The sequence below is a fragment of the Homo sapiens genome, chromosome 16, assembly GCF_000001405.40.
Source record: "Homo sapiens chromosome 16, GRCh38.p14 Primary Assembly".
NCBI classification, from domain to species: Eukaryota; Metazoa; Chordata; class Mammalia; order Primates; family Hominidae; genus Homo; species Homo sapiens.
The window spans coordinates 79,786,935-79,802,124 of NC_000016.10; the positions used below are offsets into that span (position 1 = coordinate 79,786,935).

The following is a 15,190-nucleotide window of genomic DNA, read 5'->3' on the forward strand; positions in this document are numbered from 1 at the left end:
AGCACCATCATCATCACTACCACCACCACCATCAACATCATCATTGCCATGACTACTATTACTACCAAAATCACCATCACCATGACCACTATTGCCATCATCAGTTTTATCACCATCATCACCATTAGCACTACCACCCCCAAATTATTGCTCCTTTGCAGGTAGAGACAACTGTACTTCTTTCTTTCTGATTTGAATGCCTTTTATTTCTTTCTCCTGTGTAACTATTCTGGCTACGACCTCCAGTACTACACTGAATGCCAGTGGTGACTGTGGGCATCTTTGTCTTGTCCTGATCTTAGAGGGGAAAAGCTTCTAGCTTTGCACTGTTGAACATGATGCTAGGTGTGGCTTGTCATATATGGCCTTTATTATGTCGACATACATTGTTGTTGCACCTGATTTGGTGAGAGCTTTTGTCAGGAAAGGAGATGATCTTTGAATGGCTGCTATTTTCGTGGACTCTTTGGCTCTCTCTGGATGCAGCTTAAGTCTGCAGTAAGGACTCTGATGAGTGAATTCTATGCAGCTTGACATTCTTGTCTGAATAATAAAAGTTCTGCAAACAGGCGGCTCCAGTAATCTGTTTATTATCATTTCTCTTTCCTAGTTAGAATTTATCGTTTTTCATGTGTGTGAAAAGGAGTCTCTTCATCGTTTCTAGGCTATGCTATACTTCTGTATCCAGAAACTCTGACTTAGAGAGCCTGGGAGATGTGAGAGCATTTGACAGAAATATAAGTTAATGAAAAGAATATTTAATCTAATTTTTTAGATGGGAACACTGAGACCCAAGAACTTGGAATGTCTACACCTAACTGCAAGTGAATTTTTTAAAAGAGTTTATATTACGTGCCTCATGGAGACTTAGAAGACTTACATCTCTTAATGTTTTGAGATTGACCAATCTTAAGTTAGAGTTGTTTCCAAGAAGAGGAAAAAATAAATGATCAACCTCTCTAGCAGATAGATAGTCACAGGTTTCCTATAACACAATTTAAAGGAATCACAATTTGTAAATGCACAGATTACAAAAGGACTATTCATCTTATAAACCAAGATGCTGTAGAACTAATTTCAATTAAAGTTTTGCAAGTGAATTTTAAATCACATCGAATTAAGCAAGAATCAATTTACATGCAACTTCTAGCAAAGAAATTACTATGTAGAGTAAGAGACACCTGTTAACTTCACTACCCGAAACCCATTGCCATGATTTTTACCCACCACATTTTCTTAGGACAAAGTGTTAAAAGATTGGCATCTTTGATTTCAAGCTGTTTCCGGGACCCCTTTGAAGAGTAAAGATGTTTTTATAGCTTCAGTTGTGTGTGTGTGTTTGTGTATGTGTGTTATGTGTTTGGCAATAGGAATACTTCAGGATGAATCTCTAAGCTGATAGAGTTCAGAAGAGCAGGATATTCTGAGAGGGTTTTCTGTCTCTCTGAGTCAATAAAAAATCAGGCTATAGTTCTCTTCTTTCATCATCTAGAAAATAGAGAACATTATTTGTCTTTTAATCCTTTGTAAAGATAAAAAGTGGGTAAAAAGGTAAGGGTTAGGGTCAAGAGACCTGTATTCAAGGTCTGTGCTCTGTCACTTACAGGCTAGTTAATCATGGATGAGTCCCTTAACTTCTCTGAATCTTAGTTTTCTTATCTATGAAATAGGGTTAACTCTTGGTGCCATTAGGATTAAGTGAGAATGTACTAATGTTCAAAGAGTATGTAAAAGTCGAACATAGTGCCTGACATAAAATTGATACTCAATAAACTAACACAAAATAGACACTGAATAAACATGTGTTGAAAAATATGGAGATTTATGTGTTCACACTAATTGGTTTAAGTCTTAAACCCAGGAAAAAATCTGAACTGCAACATGCAATGAGGAGTAAACCTTGTTTGCTAAGTAAATGTTAAGATTTCAAAGAACGCTATCCTCCTGTAAAACCATTTTGCCTTTGAAGAGACCCACATATTTCTCATGTGAGCAAAACGGTTCTTCATTCCTTAAACCCACTACTCATAGGTCCCCGGACTGGGGTGCAGTTTCTCTTTGGTAGGATTTTTCTTGCCAAATGACGCCAGGTAGCGCATTATCAAAATGACCCATTCTGGTGCTTGGATGATGTCACATCCCTTGAGAGGAGGGCAAGTAGATATATCAGGCCTTGGGCACTCACAGGTTTGGCTCACTGCTAGTGAATCCAGAGCTCCCACACTGGCTAGACTGGTTCCAGAGAAATAAATCAACCTGAGAAAGCCGTTGGCCAGGGATGAGTCTCGGCAAGAGGTTGACTTTTCTGGCTCCCACCCTGCTTCCAGATTGTCATTTAGAACTAGCTCAGGCATCCAGTCTGTCTGTCCTCTCTGTAAAACCTGCAGCAGATCACCAGAGCCACAGAAAACCACTCACCCTGCCAATGGAGGCCCTCCTGCAAAGATGCCAGTCTTCTCTTTGCTAACACGTGGCTTCTGCATCAATCAACCTTCCTCCTCAGTGCTGCCTCACCACCCCAATGCGTGAATCACTGCCAGGGATCTTTACTTGCACTTGTTCCTCAATCACCACCCTTCCTGTCACCTAATCTAATTCCACATACCCATCAAATTCTGCCTTAAACATCCCCCATTCTATTAAGAAGAAGATGTCTTCAGCTCCTGCCTGCACTGACGTTTGGCATCCAAACTCCTATTGTTACGATTCCATCTCCATTCTGGTTTAGCTCATCCATAAATTGGGGATAATGATGCCAACATCACTCAATTCTTATGAGAATTAAACCAGATAATTTTGTAAAGAGCTTGTCAGAGTTGATAGACTCCATTGCATTTGGCTGTGGAGTTGGTACGTAGAAAGTGCCCAACAAATCATAGCTGGCAACAAGTACTTTAAAAATAATTGAACCTACTGTCATAGTTGATATTCTAGGTAATTTGTATCCAAACACATGCATACCTCTGGAGAGCAAAGAATTTATCATAAACATTTGTATCCCAAGTACACAGTATGTGCTCTCAATATTTGTCTATCAACTTCTGATAACAATTTGATTTGGATAGAAGCATTTCTTTCTTGCTTTTATACATGAGCATGTGCCCAGTGTCAAAAAAAGCAGTTTAACATGGCCGAATGCTTACTATGTACCCACTCATTTACTTGCCACAGCAATGGTCTGGATTGGATGCTATTTTATCACTCAGTTTCAGAGGGGTAAACTGAGGATCCAGTTTATATCATGAGTAAACAGTGAAGGTGATGTTCAAACCCAAGCATTCTGGCACCAGAGTTCAGGTTCTTAACCACAATGTTGTCTCTCCACTGCCATAGCATGGCATGGAAACCGTTTCAAGACCTGGTCTTCCCCTGCTGTTTCAGATTCTTTTCCTGCCAGACTTTTGCCCACTTTTGTTCTTTCCCCCTGTTATATGGAACCCTTAGTGGTTCTCTGGACACAATGCTCCTGTTCATGCTTCAATCAGATTGCCAGAGAAAATATAGCATGCCAAATTAAATTTGAATTTCAGATAAACAATGAATACTGTTTTAGTATAAGTCATGTCCCAACTATTGCATAACAAATATTTATACTAAAAAAAAACTCATGATTTATCTGAAATTCAAACTTAGCTTGGAATTCTGTAATTTGGTTTTCTTTTGTTACTAAACCCAGCAACCTTCTGCTTTTAGGCCTTTGCTCAAAGAGCTCCATCTGCTTGGCAATTTTCTATGCCTTCTCCATCATGCACTATCTTGTTCATCCTTTTAAGTCTAATGCAAAGGTGAGTTCTCTAGTGAGAATGCCTCCAGTGCCTCGCTGCATTGTAAAATCCATCACTGGCATTTCCAGTACTACCCAGCCTTGTAGACCGAACGCTAAGCTCTCCAAGGCAGGGCCCATGGACTCAGCTCTGAATCCTCAATACCTGGTGAGACACGTGGCATGGAGAAGGCATTCTCAATACCGAGTCATGAATACAGCTATGGAGAATGCTCCTTAATTCTCCCATTCCCTGTCATATATTTCTCCTTTATCTTTGAAATTCTTTGAAATGCACCAAAATTCCTGCATAGAAATTGCTCCTCTCTATATATTTTATTTATTTATTTATTTATTTATTTATTTATTTATTTATTTATTTGAGACAGGGTCACGCTGTCGTTCAGGCTGGAGTGCAGCGGTGGGATCATGGCTCACTGCAGCCTCAAACTCCCGGGCTCAAAGTGTCCTTTTGCCTTAGCTTCCTGAGTAGCTGGGACTATAGGAGAGTACCACCATGTCCAGCTGATTAAAAATACTTGCAGAGACTGGATCTCACTATGCTGCCCAGACTGGTCTTGAACTCTTGGGATCAAGTGGTTCTCCTGCCTTGGCCTCCTGAACTGTTAAGATTACAGGTGTGAGCCCCTGCTCCCAGCCAAGAGTATTTCTCTTTCTCATTTTGAGTAAAAGATATCCGGCCATTGTAAGATGTCTGAACCATATTAACCTTTGTATTAATCTCCTAGGGCTGCCATAACAAATTACCACAAATGAGGTGGCTTAAAACAGCAGGAATTTATTCTCTCACAGCTTAGAGGCTAGAAGTCTGAAATCAAGGTGCCGGCAGGGCCACACTCTCACTGAGGACTCTAGAGGAGGGTCTGATTCCTGCCTTTCTCTTAGCTTCTGGTGGTTGCTAACAATCTTTGGCTTTCCTTGGCTTGTAGACACATTGCTCCAACCTCTGCCTCCATTGTCACATGGTGTTCACATGTGTCCTTCTGTCCTCTTCTTTCTGTACATGTCCATATCTCACATGACATTTGCCTCTGTGTGTGTGTCTCTTCTCCTTTTTTTATAAGGACACCAGCCACGTTGGGTTGAGGGCCCACCTTATTCCAGTACAATCTTATCTTAACTTGGATCATAATTATATCTGCAAAGACCCTATTTCCAAATAAGGTCACATTCACAGGTATTAATGGTTAGGATTTCAACACATATTTTGGGTGACACAGTTCAACTCACAACAACCCTGGACAAGTGACTTCTCCACTCCAGGCCTCCATTTCTGCATCTATAAAATGGGCAAAATCTTGCCTACATCGCTGAAGTCAGGGATTGAATGAGATCATGCATAGTGCCTCCTGCATTGAAGGGCTGTGCCTATGACTTCTCTTCCTCTTTCTTTCTAGCTGTCTGCAGCATGAAAGCATAAAATATTGACAATAAAGGAAGTTCCAGCAGGTAGAATTTTGGCTCACAGAGGCCAAACACAAGCGCAACGTTCTATGTGTTCTTTCAGAGCTCGCTTCCTTCCAGCTGGAGGACTTTTCTTTGTAGTGTAATCCTCTGCTTAACTTATTCTCATCTATGTAGGACGCAGGGGCTGGACATGTGAACTGACTTTAATAAAGGTTTCGGGTGATTCTAGGACACCAGGCGGAGATGTGTGTCTTTGGCTGTTTACCCCTGTCATGAGTGGTTACTTTTTCATGGTCAAAACAAATAAATACATAAAAAGTGCCTAAAACCTATAGGGAATCAAGTTTCCAAACTCTGTTCTTGCGGCTGACTTCTGAATCATAGTGTTATAATTAAAAAAAGAAAACACGAAATTGCACTTGGCCATGAAACATAAATTGTACCTTTGTAAAGGTCAAATACTAGTTGTGATTAACCAGACGAGTCACACTTTATCCTGGTTAAAACAATACTGAATTTTAAAACTACTTATAGGATTCTACACACCACCCGCCCCCACCCAACACTCTTTCTTGCAGAAGTTTACAGTTGGAATCTTGTTTGAAGTGGGGTTTTATTTTCATTTGTATTTTTTTTTCAATTTGTGAGATGATTTCCATTGGTTTGGCAATTTGCACTTGAGTGATGCTATATAGCATTATCAGGGTGCCGACAGCTGCTGTGGCATAAACAAGCGGTGATGCATTGAGCTGGCACATCCATATGGTTTGGAAAATAAGATGAAATAAAATAAAAACATTTGTTATCATTTGTGGAGTTTTTGAACACAACCAACTTCAGCACAACTTTAATGCCTCGCATGGCTTTCTTTAAAAAATAAATAAATAATTTTAAATGAGAACATTTTGTTTCGCTAGGAAGAGTGGTTTACTGTGTGGATGGGGAGAGAAGCCTCGGTTTCTAGCAGCTGTTGCTCATCTCTGGCCCGGGGTCTCGTGATGGGTCTGCTGTTGGCTAAAGCCCAATGCTGGATCAGTGGTGCTAATGGAATCTCCGTCTGCTTATCATCTCAGACACTGCAGAGCACTGGCCCTCAGAAAATCCTGGCTGTCTAACCCCCCTTCTCCCCCATCGCCTCCCTACCACTCCAGGAAATTCTATGGAGGGCTGCTATGGAGGCAGCAACACCTAAAAATTTAACATTGGTTCTTTCTTCTAGAAAGCTAAGCTCAGGATCAGGTTTGGTATTAGAAGACCTTATGCTTTTAGGTGGTAGTAATAACAATGCCAGCCGCTAATAATTATGGCAATCGGTGGTGACAATTTAAAGCACTTTTTAATTTACAAATTACCTGGGAATATGTAGCCTCATTTTGGGGGTCTCTGGTGTCAATCACTATTCCCATTCCACTTCCTAAAGATGTGATATTGGCACTTCCCACTTCTTAAAGGTGTAACCGCTCCCATTTCACATGTATAAAATGGAAACTCGGAGTCCTACCCCGAGGGCTTATCTATGACTCTTTTTGGTGACTGGCAATATGAACGAAAATCAGACACACACTTAGACATCTTCAACACCCACAAAGCCATATAAAATGCCTTTACTTTTTGTGACAGGACTTTAGTTCATTGTGACCACATTGCGTCTTTCAACTGATCGGAAGTTCCACTGGGCAGTTTTACATGCTTTCATGCCATTTCTTAAAAATGAAAAATAAATGAATAATTATATAATAAATGCAGATTTTAAAGGGGATGGTATCTAAAATCCACGTAGGCAGCGACCTAATCTGTCTTTTTCATCCTGTATTCCTAGTGCCTGGGAGAGGGCTGGCACTAAGTGTTTCTGGACAAGTCAACTCACTTCTCTGAATTGCAGCTTTTACATGTGTAAAATGGGGACTGGATTTCCTATTCCAGAGGGCTGGCACCTAATAAGGGCTCAATATATATGAATTAAATGAATGAATAAATAGTTATATAATCTAGGGGTAGGAAGTGGATAACCGTAGATGTTAGGCAGAAGTGTGCTGATAAATTAGCTTAGTCCTGATTGGTAATCATGGCCGATTTCACGCTGCCGATAAGAGGTTACTGAATGCTGAGTTGGGAAGAGATCTTTCCAATCAGCTCCCGTGACCTGGGGCAATTCTACTCCAGCACACCTTTGACTTGGGTGGTAAAATAGTTGCAAATCCCTGTTCCACTTCCTGTTTGTTTTTGGGAAGTTTCTCCCTCGGGCAGAAAGGTTTGGGGACTTCCAGATTGCTTCAGTTTACACAATTCTAATTTTCTGGCCGGTATCAGACCATTTTTCTTTCATTTGGCAGAGAAGAGAGAAGGGTATGAGTTGCCAGGTAGTGGATGCAGATGGAAGCGCTGGTGGGCCCATTGGTTGATCATTGGTTGGGACCATCTTACACAGAAAGTTCATCCTATTGCCCTTTCCCACTGTGTTAATATGGGAACACTCCTTCTCTTCTGTTTTATGCCTGTAGTGATTAACCCGGGCATTTTTAAGTAGGCTGTGCCAGGAAGCACCTTTGCAATTCCTGCTATTTCATAGCCTTTGCAAAAGTCCTAGGTTTTTGTTTTCTTCCCAAGATTGATTTCCTACCAGTTACGTCTACTATTTCCCATCCTCTCTGGCAAAATTGCAAGGAGTGGCATCAGCACATCTTTGTACAGTAGGCGAATATATTTGGAATGCTTATTTCTGAGAGCTGTTGAAGACGGCTAACAATTTTACCCCACGCAGAAGGACTGACAATAAATTTAGGAGTGGCAAATGGAACCACTGTTCTGTTTCCCTCTCAGTAAATAAATAACTGCAAAACCTGTACTCCAATACCAGAGCGTCAAATCCATGGCGCTCTGTTGATTAACACCGAAAATGTCTTTGTGAAGATGATGCATTTAGAAGAGTCCTAAGGCTCGCACCAGAAGCTGACACTGAAGGTTTATTTTAATGTAGCACAAATCAGAGCGAACGACGTGAAAAGAGTTCTGTTTCTCCTGGAAGGATGCCACTTGTTTCTACTCCAGGGGAAATGTCTTCCAAGCTCTTTACCAAATCTGCAAGCTGAACCAACTCAACTGTGGCTGCCTTGCCCACCTGAAGACCTCAGGATCCACCAGCAGCCCAAGACACCTCGGAAGCTGTTTCAAGGTCAGTACCAGAAATAGTGTTTTTGAGTGATTTGCAATGTAATGCAAAACTCAATGGAATGAGGAGTTTTTTTTGTGGCCTTGTATTTTCTTTCACACCACTGAATGCCAGTGTTTATGCTGGGGCATGCTTAGAGATGGAAATTTGGAAGGAAAGTCCATCACAGCATTTGTGCCAATTGGGGATCCAGCAATAATATCTGTTTAACAACACCAATAGTAAGCAGATGAATGTATATTGACCACGTTAGAAGTAAAACGAGAAAGATGTTAGAATGACATGGAGGAGAAGGAGAGAACAAGACAAGGAGGGAGAGAGGGAGCAAGAGGGGAAACATAAAAAAATGGATGGATTGAAAAACTGTGCTATCCTTTGTAACAACGTGTTTGCTCCTGCTGTTTCCTTGTCTTAGAATGCCATTCCACCCTTTCTTCACCTGGCGAATTCCAACTCAACCTGTGACCTCATCTTAATGTTATTTCCTCAGGGAAATCTTCCATAAGCCACAAGACTGGGTCAGGTCCCCATATTAGGTGGTCTGATGAATCTGTCTTTTTTTTTTTCTAGTACACGTCATGATGTAATGATTATAATTATGTATCTGGTCTATATGATTATCTGTTACATGCTAGTCTTCCTCAAGGAACAGAAGTTCTGAACTAGTAAGATTCCAAAAGCCCTGTGCTGGCCTTAGCTCTGAACACGGCCTTCAAGCCACCCATTGCATAAGGGAATGATGAATGAATGGATGTTTAAGAGAACTGCATTTTATTATCTGAGCCTTGCTGGTTTAGCATAGTCCTGTCCACACGCACATACCACAGGCCAACCTTGTGACATAAGAAAGGAGTTCAGGCCGGGCGCGGTGGCTCACGCCTGTAATCCCAGCACTTTGGGAGGCCGAGGCGGGTGGATCACAAGTTCAGGAGATCGAGACCATCCTGGCTAAAACGGTGAAACCCCGTCTCTACTAAAAATACAAAAAATTAGCCGGGCGTAGTGGCGGGCGCCTGTAGTCCCAGCTACTTGGGAGGCTGAGGCAGGAGAATGGGGTGAACCCGGGAGGCGGAGCTTGCAGTGAGCCGAGATCCCGCCACTGCACTCCAGCCTGGGCGACAGAGCGAGACTCCGTCTCAAAAAAAAAAAAAAAAAAAAAAAAAAAAAAGAAAGGAGTTCAATCCCCATAGCTTTTCAGTGCCATTTCTCAGGTCCCAACAGGTTCACTGATTTGCCAAGAAGAAGCACCAATGGGTCAGAGGCTGAGCGTGAACGGAATTCATTCTCCCGATGCCAGGGTCCCTCCCTCACCTCCCACTGCTCAGTAGACAGGTCTCTCTGCAGAAGGGAAAAGGGAGGGTTGAGGGTTTAGAGGGTTTAGACAGTGAAAAGGCAGGAAGAGTAATCATGACAGAAGAGATTTACTGCAGCCTTCTTCTCCTTTCTTTTTGCATTAAGGACAAGCGTCGCCTGCACACGTCAGCACAAATGGGAACATGATGAGGTACCACTTTTTCCAAGGCTGTGACCAGCTCCTCAGGGCAGCAGGCGAAGCTGTCCCTCTGAGTTAGCCTTTGAAGTTTTCCTCAAATCTCTTGCTGCAGGGAAGCCAAGCCAGTCAACCCTAGGCTTCCACTGGGAGCTATATTCCTTCCTTCCTTCATTCATTCCCCAAATATTTTTCAAGGGTCCACCATGTGCCAGGCATTGTGCTAAAAGTGTTTTGTGTAGGTTCAAGTGAGGCCTGCGGGGTGACCAGCTATCCCAGTTTCCCTGGCATGAGAGACTTTCTGTGTGCAAACTAAGACAGCTGGTCGCCCTACTTTGGGCGTGAGCTTAGCATGCAGTGTAACTTTCTGTACAGAGTGTAATTCTTAAGAATCACGCCAAGATCACCTTCCTTGCTAAAATGAACATTCTCAGGCTCCACTCCATACCAGTGATTCCAAATCCTCTGAGGCTGGAAACCTATGTTGAATCAGTTCCCCTAAGCTATTATTATGCGTATTTAAGTTTGAGAACAGCTGAACTAGTGCTTAAGGGTACGAACTTTAAAGCCACTCATGCATGAATTCAAATTCCACTCTCACCATTAAACATCTATGCACGTTTTTACAAATTGCTTAATCAATATGGGCTCTAATTTCCTTATTCGTAAAATGGGTCTCATAATACTATTTTCATTGTGTTCTTGAGTGATGCTGCCTGGAGTTAAAGGAGGCCAGGAGCACCAGAAGCTGGAGGAGGCCGGGGTGGATTCTCGCCTGGAGGCTTCAGTGGGAGCACGAGCTCCCGACACTTCGGTTCCATCTCTTGTTTAAAGGCACCCAGTTTCTCATCATTTGTTACAGCACCATGGAAAACCCACACACAAGTGAAGCCCCGACCCACCTCCCAAGTGCCCATCTGAGCACCCCTCGTGGACTCTGAGCAGGGGTGAGTACTCCTTTCACTCGGGCTTGCATGCCCAGGCCCCATGTAATATAAGCAATGAGCAGGCTACATATTCTTGAAAAACCCATAGGCTCACATGATAGCAATTCTTTTTATTTTTTATTTTTTTTGGAATGCAAAACAACAACAACAACAGAACACCAAAACCAACCTGAACTAGAAATGCAAGAGAAAAATGAAGCAACCCAAAGTTGTATAGCTGTTTCTTTCTTCCACCGAAGGTATGCCCAGCATCTCGTAGGTAGCTTGGTGACATATCATGGTGATGTTTTACAAGTTGGTTTTGGCAATAGTCACATCCTTTTTTTTTTTTTGAGATGGAGTCTTACTCTGTCACCCAGAATAGAGTACAGTGGCGTGATCTCTGCCCACCGCAGTTCCGCCTCCTGGATTCTCCTGCCTCAGCCTCCTGAGTAGCTGGGATTACAGGCGTGTGCCACCATGCCTGGCTAATTTTTGTATTCTCAGTGGAGACAGGGTTTCACTGTGTTGGTCAGGCTGCTCTCGAACTCCTGACCTCGTGATCCACCCGCCTCAGGCTCCCAAAGTGCTGGATTACAGGCATGAGGCATCGTGCCTGGCCCCCTTTTTTTTCTTATGTAGCTGTGAAGCCTCTGGGCTGCTTCTGGGTTCTTCCTTCTTGATCTAGCATGAATCCCAACCTCTTGGCCATGTTCCTTTCCTCTCCAGGGTTGCCATCACCAACTCCAAGTCTTGCAGCCCCTCTTCCCTTCAGTCTGGCTGCCACCTTCTTCATTGCCCTGGAAAAAAATAATGAAGTTTCACCATTTAAAGGGTTTCAGTGCAGCTTGCTATGGGAACACTGGAGAGTAACACAAATGGCCAATTGTCCTAATAGCCACCATGGATTGGATGGATGCTAACAACAGGCTCACAGTTCTCCTTCTGTTGCCTCCTTTTATCCACATGAGAATCAAACAAGTAGGTGCTGCTGGTATTACTGTATTTTTCTCATTTTAAAGATCAGGATGGGGAGGGTTGAGGAGGTTAAGGAAGTTGTTAGAAGTTACACTGAAGTTAAGAAAGGAAAAAGGACTTAGAAACTTATTCTTCCAACTTTAGAACCACGGTCAGTGACCAAGGCCCTGCTTAGAACTTTCTGAAGGTTGCAGCTGGCCTTCTACCTGGAGTTTTGACTTCCTTTCCGAGAAAGGAACTTGAATGGCAATCACAAGAAAGTTGAGAACTTCTCTTTCATATTTTAAGCATTCATTTTTTTTTATATTTATTTTAATTTACAAATACTAATTGTATATATGTATAAGGTAAGATATGATAGTTTGATATGGCTACCTTGTAATAAAATGAGCCTCATTACCAAGTCTGGCACTTCACATGTGTATTTTTTTGTTTGGTAAAACATTGAAAATCTATCCTTTTAGCAATTTTGAAATGTACAATGCATTTTTAAAAATTATAGTCATCATTCTGTGCAATAGATCACTAAAGCTTATTCCTCTTGTCTAACTGAAACTTTGTACCCATTGATCAATATCTGCCTTTTCCCCACCCACACCCCTCCCCAGTCTCTGGTCACCAACATTCTACTCTCTTCTTCTTTGAACTCAACTTTCTTAGATTCCACATACAAGTGGGATTATGCAGTATTTGTCTTTCTTTACCTAGCTTATTTCACTTAGCATAATATCCTCCAAGTTCATCCATGTTATTGTAAATTACAGAATTTACTATTTCTAAAAGGCTGATAGTATTCCTTTGTTTATATAGACCACATTTCTTTTATCCATTTATTTGTTGATGGGCACTTAGGTTGATTCCATATCTTAGCTAATGTGAATAATGCTGCAATGAACGTTAATGTGCAGCTATCTCTTTGATATACTGATTTCAATTCCTTTGGGATATACCCGGAAGTGGGATTTCTTTTATTTTTGAGTGTGATTTAACTCCAGCCTCTTGGTTCTTTCTCTGAAAATCAGTGTGAACTAATTATTGCCAGATAGAATCTATTCAGCAGGACTTTTGTTTGGGAGGCACCTCTAAGGACTTGCAAATTAGGAGAAAATATTTTTCTGGACGTCTGCAACAACACAAGCCATTTTGTTGCCCAGCATTTCCTAGAAGTCATTCCAGGTAATAGGTGTTCCTTGGGCAAAAAAACGTTTTCATGAGCAAAGACTTGGAAATCCTGCCATGAAGGTTTTATAACTGCTGGACTTCAGAGCCTTTTGTTTGCTGATATAGTTTGAGGATCTCTAAAATGATGCTATGATAGGCATCCATTGTCTTTTCATGAAAGGTAGCTACATTTGGGCTTCCACAGAGCAACTTTGGGGACACATTGCTTTGGTTTCTTCCTTGCAATTAGCATTTTCTTCTCTGTGACTTAGGGAGATGTGTCCATATCTTTCCTGAGAGTTTATTATTTTCCAAGCCCGATCTATGTAAACATCAAATCACTTACAAGACATGGCAGGCCTTCCCGATGATGAAATTGTCATGACTTCATCATTCCTATAATCACCCAAATGAGTTCTGAAGTATGGGCCTTTAGCTGCTGAAAAATAGGAAACAGAGTCAAGTCTGGCCCTATCTTGAAATGTATGTGACAGCTCATGCTCAGTTTCAGTGACGAGAAATGTGTTGAGCTAAAAATATTCTAACCAGATGTGAATCTGGGACATGTGACTGCAACTCACCCCTGCCTGCCATTTTTTCAACTTCTAGTGTCTCTCAATGCACAGTTGCTACAATCTCAGGCCACCATAGCACCCTCTGTATGCATGCAACTTGTTTCTGTGAGTGCATGTCTGCAGCCCCTGGAGATGGCTTGGTGGAGAATATCCCTACACCAGCCAGCCACAGTGGCTCCTAGCAGCCCCAGAGTGGATGGGAATAAATAAATTCCATTGCAAGTTAGGCATAAGTTCCTCTCAATCAAATGCTTGTGCATTTGTTTTTTTCCTCCAGTCTTCCATATCATTAAGAAGAGCTTGATTCTATCCTCTGGTTGGAAGACACATTGCTCCCATGATTCTGTAGAAGAAGTGGGTTTCAACTTGGTCCAGGAGAACTTGATGCCCATGGGCAAAGGTGGAATCTACCCTCCATGCAAAATGGTGTGTGGGACTCTCGTGGGGGATAGAGTCTTGTCTGGAAGCTGAATTATTTTAAGAAGGCTCTTGGCTCACTTGCAGAAGATAAAAACTAATACCTATCTATCTTTTACAGAATGACAAACAATTACTACACTTCACTGAACACATCTTGTATACTAGGCATAAGAGCCAATTGTAACTACTTTTATTTATTGGGCTCTGTCATCAAAGCTTTTGGATACTGTCTTAGTGTCAAACTATTGTGGTACTTTAGTGCGTTGAGATGTGAGCTTGTGTTTCGGTGGAGCCAACGTAAGGTTTCATATCTCTTCTTTCCATCTTAGGATCTTCTAGGAATCTAAAAATGTGTGTGAGATTTCACCTGTAAAAGCTGAGTTATTCTGAATCTGCGTTTTCCTGAAGATTTTTCTTTGTGTGGTCAGCCTTCTTGGAAAAATCCAGAAGCCACCATCAACTTACAACCCTGCATGAATAAATGTAATGTTTCGTTTGGAGATTGAGAGCTGATATATAGGACAAGGATAACTGGCCCAATACAGACAAAGTTCCTTTGAGTAAAGCAATCTGATCATCCTTAAGGAGAGCCTCAGTATAGAGCCTAGTCAGAGCCAGCAGAAGTTTAGACTCTCAAAGAGTCAGCCAGGTCCTCTTGGGAAGCACCTACTTGAGAATCCTGCATGATAGAGTTTGACATCTGGCTCTGTTACCTACAAGCTTGACCTCATTCCTATAATCCTTCATTTCATCATCTTTAAAGTGGGGATGAATTGTGCCTAGACAGACAGAATAGATGACCATGCGAGGTCATCATGCCACACTGCACATAAGTGCTTAGCATATAGTGAGTACTACACAAAAGGCAGCTTCCATTGCTGTTGCTAAGGGTACGACCTGCTGGGAGAATCATCCATCTATCTTCTAAGTGCTAATTGAGTGCACGCCTTTCTTACCTCTGAGTGTTAAAGCTTTGTCAGGAAACGTGGCAACATCTCAGGCTGAATCAGCCCTATCCAGGACTTGTCATTCCCTGATCTGGGTCCCAACCTATGAGTCATACAGCCTTCTCCATGTGGACACCACAGCAAATCACTTTTCCCATAATGAACAACCAGACACACTCCATTGTGGTGACGGAAAGTAATTACCAACATAAATGATCTAACCAGACATGGGTTCCACCAAGGTTTAACCCCTGGTTTCCTTTTCTGCACAGTAATCACACACTGTCCTGTGGCAGCCACTGGGGGAGAATCATTATGGAGAATTATGTGATCC

The 15,190-nt window shown here is 42.0% G+C and overlaps 2 long non-coding RNA genes across 3 annotated transcripts in view; one reads left to right on the forward strand and one right to left on the reverse strand.

Moving 5' to 3' along the window:
- LINC01229 (long intergenic non-protein coding RNA 1229) overlaps window positions 1-14,409 on the forward strand; it is a 30,873-nt gene extending 16,464 nt beyond the window's left edge. The window contains exons 1-4 of one of the 2 annotated variants that reach the window (NR_104661.1): window positions 8,315-8,363; window positions 9,819-9,864; window positions 10,557-10,796; window positions 11,505-12,156. This is a non-coding gene — a long non-coding RNA (long intergenic non-protein coding RNA 1229). Of the gene's footprint in view, window positions 1-8,314; window positions 8,364-9,818; window positions 9,865-10,556; window positions 10,797-11,504; window positions 12,157-14,238 lie in introns of those variants that run through there. The other variant, NR_104660.1, reaches the window with a different exon arrangement.
- LINC01228 (long intergenic non-protein coding RNA 1228) overlaps window positions 10,901-15,190 on the reverse strand; it is a 29,316-nt gene continuing 25,026 nt past the window's right edge. Inside the window, exon 2 of the long non-coding RNA NR_170199.1 lies at window positions 10,901-11,575. This is a non-coding gene — a long non-coding RNA (long intergenic non-protein coding RNA 1228). The remainder of the gene's footprint in view (window positions 11,576-15,190) is intronic.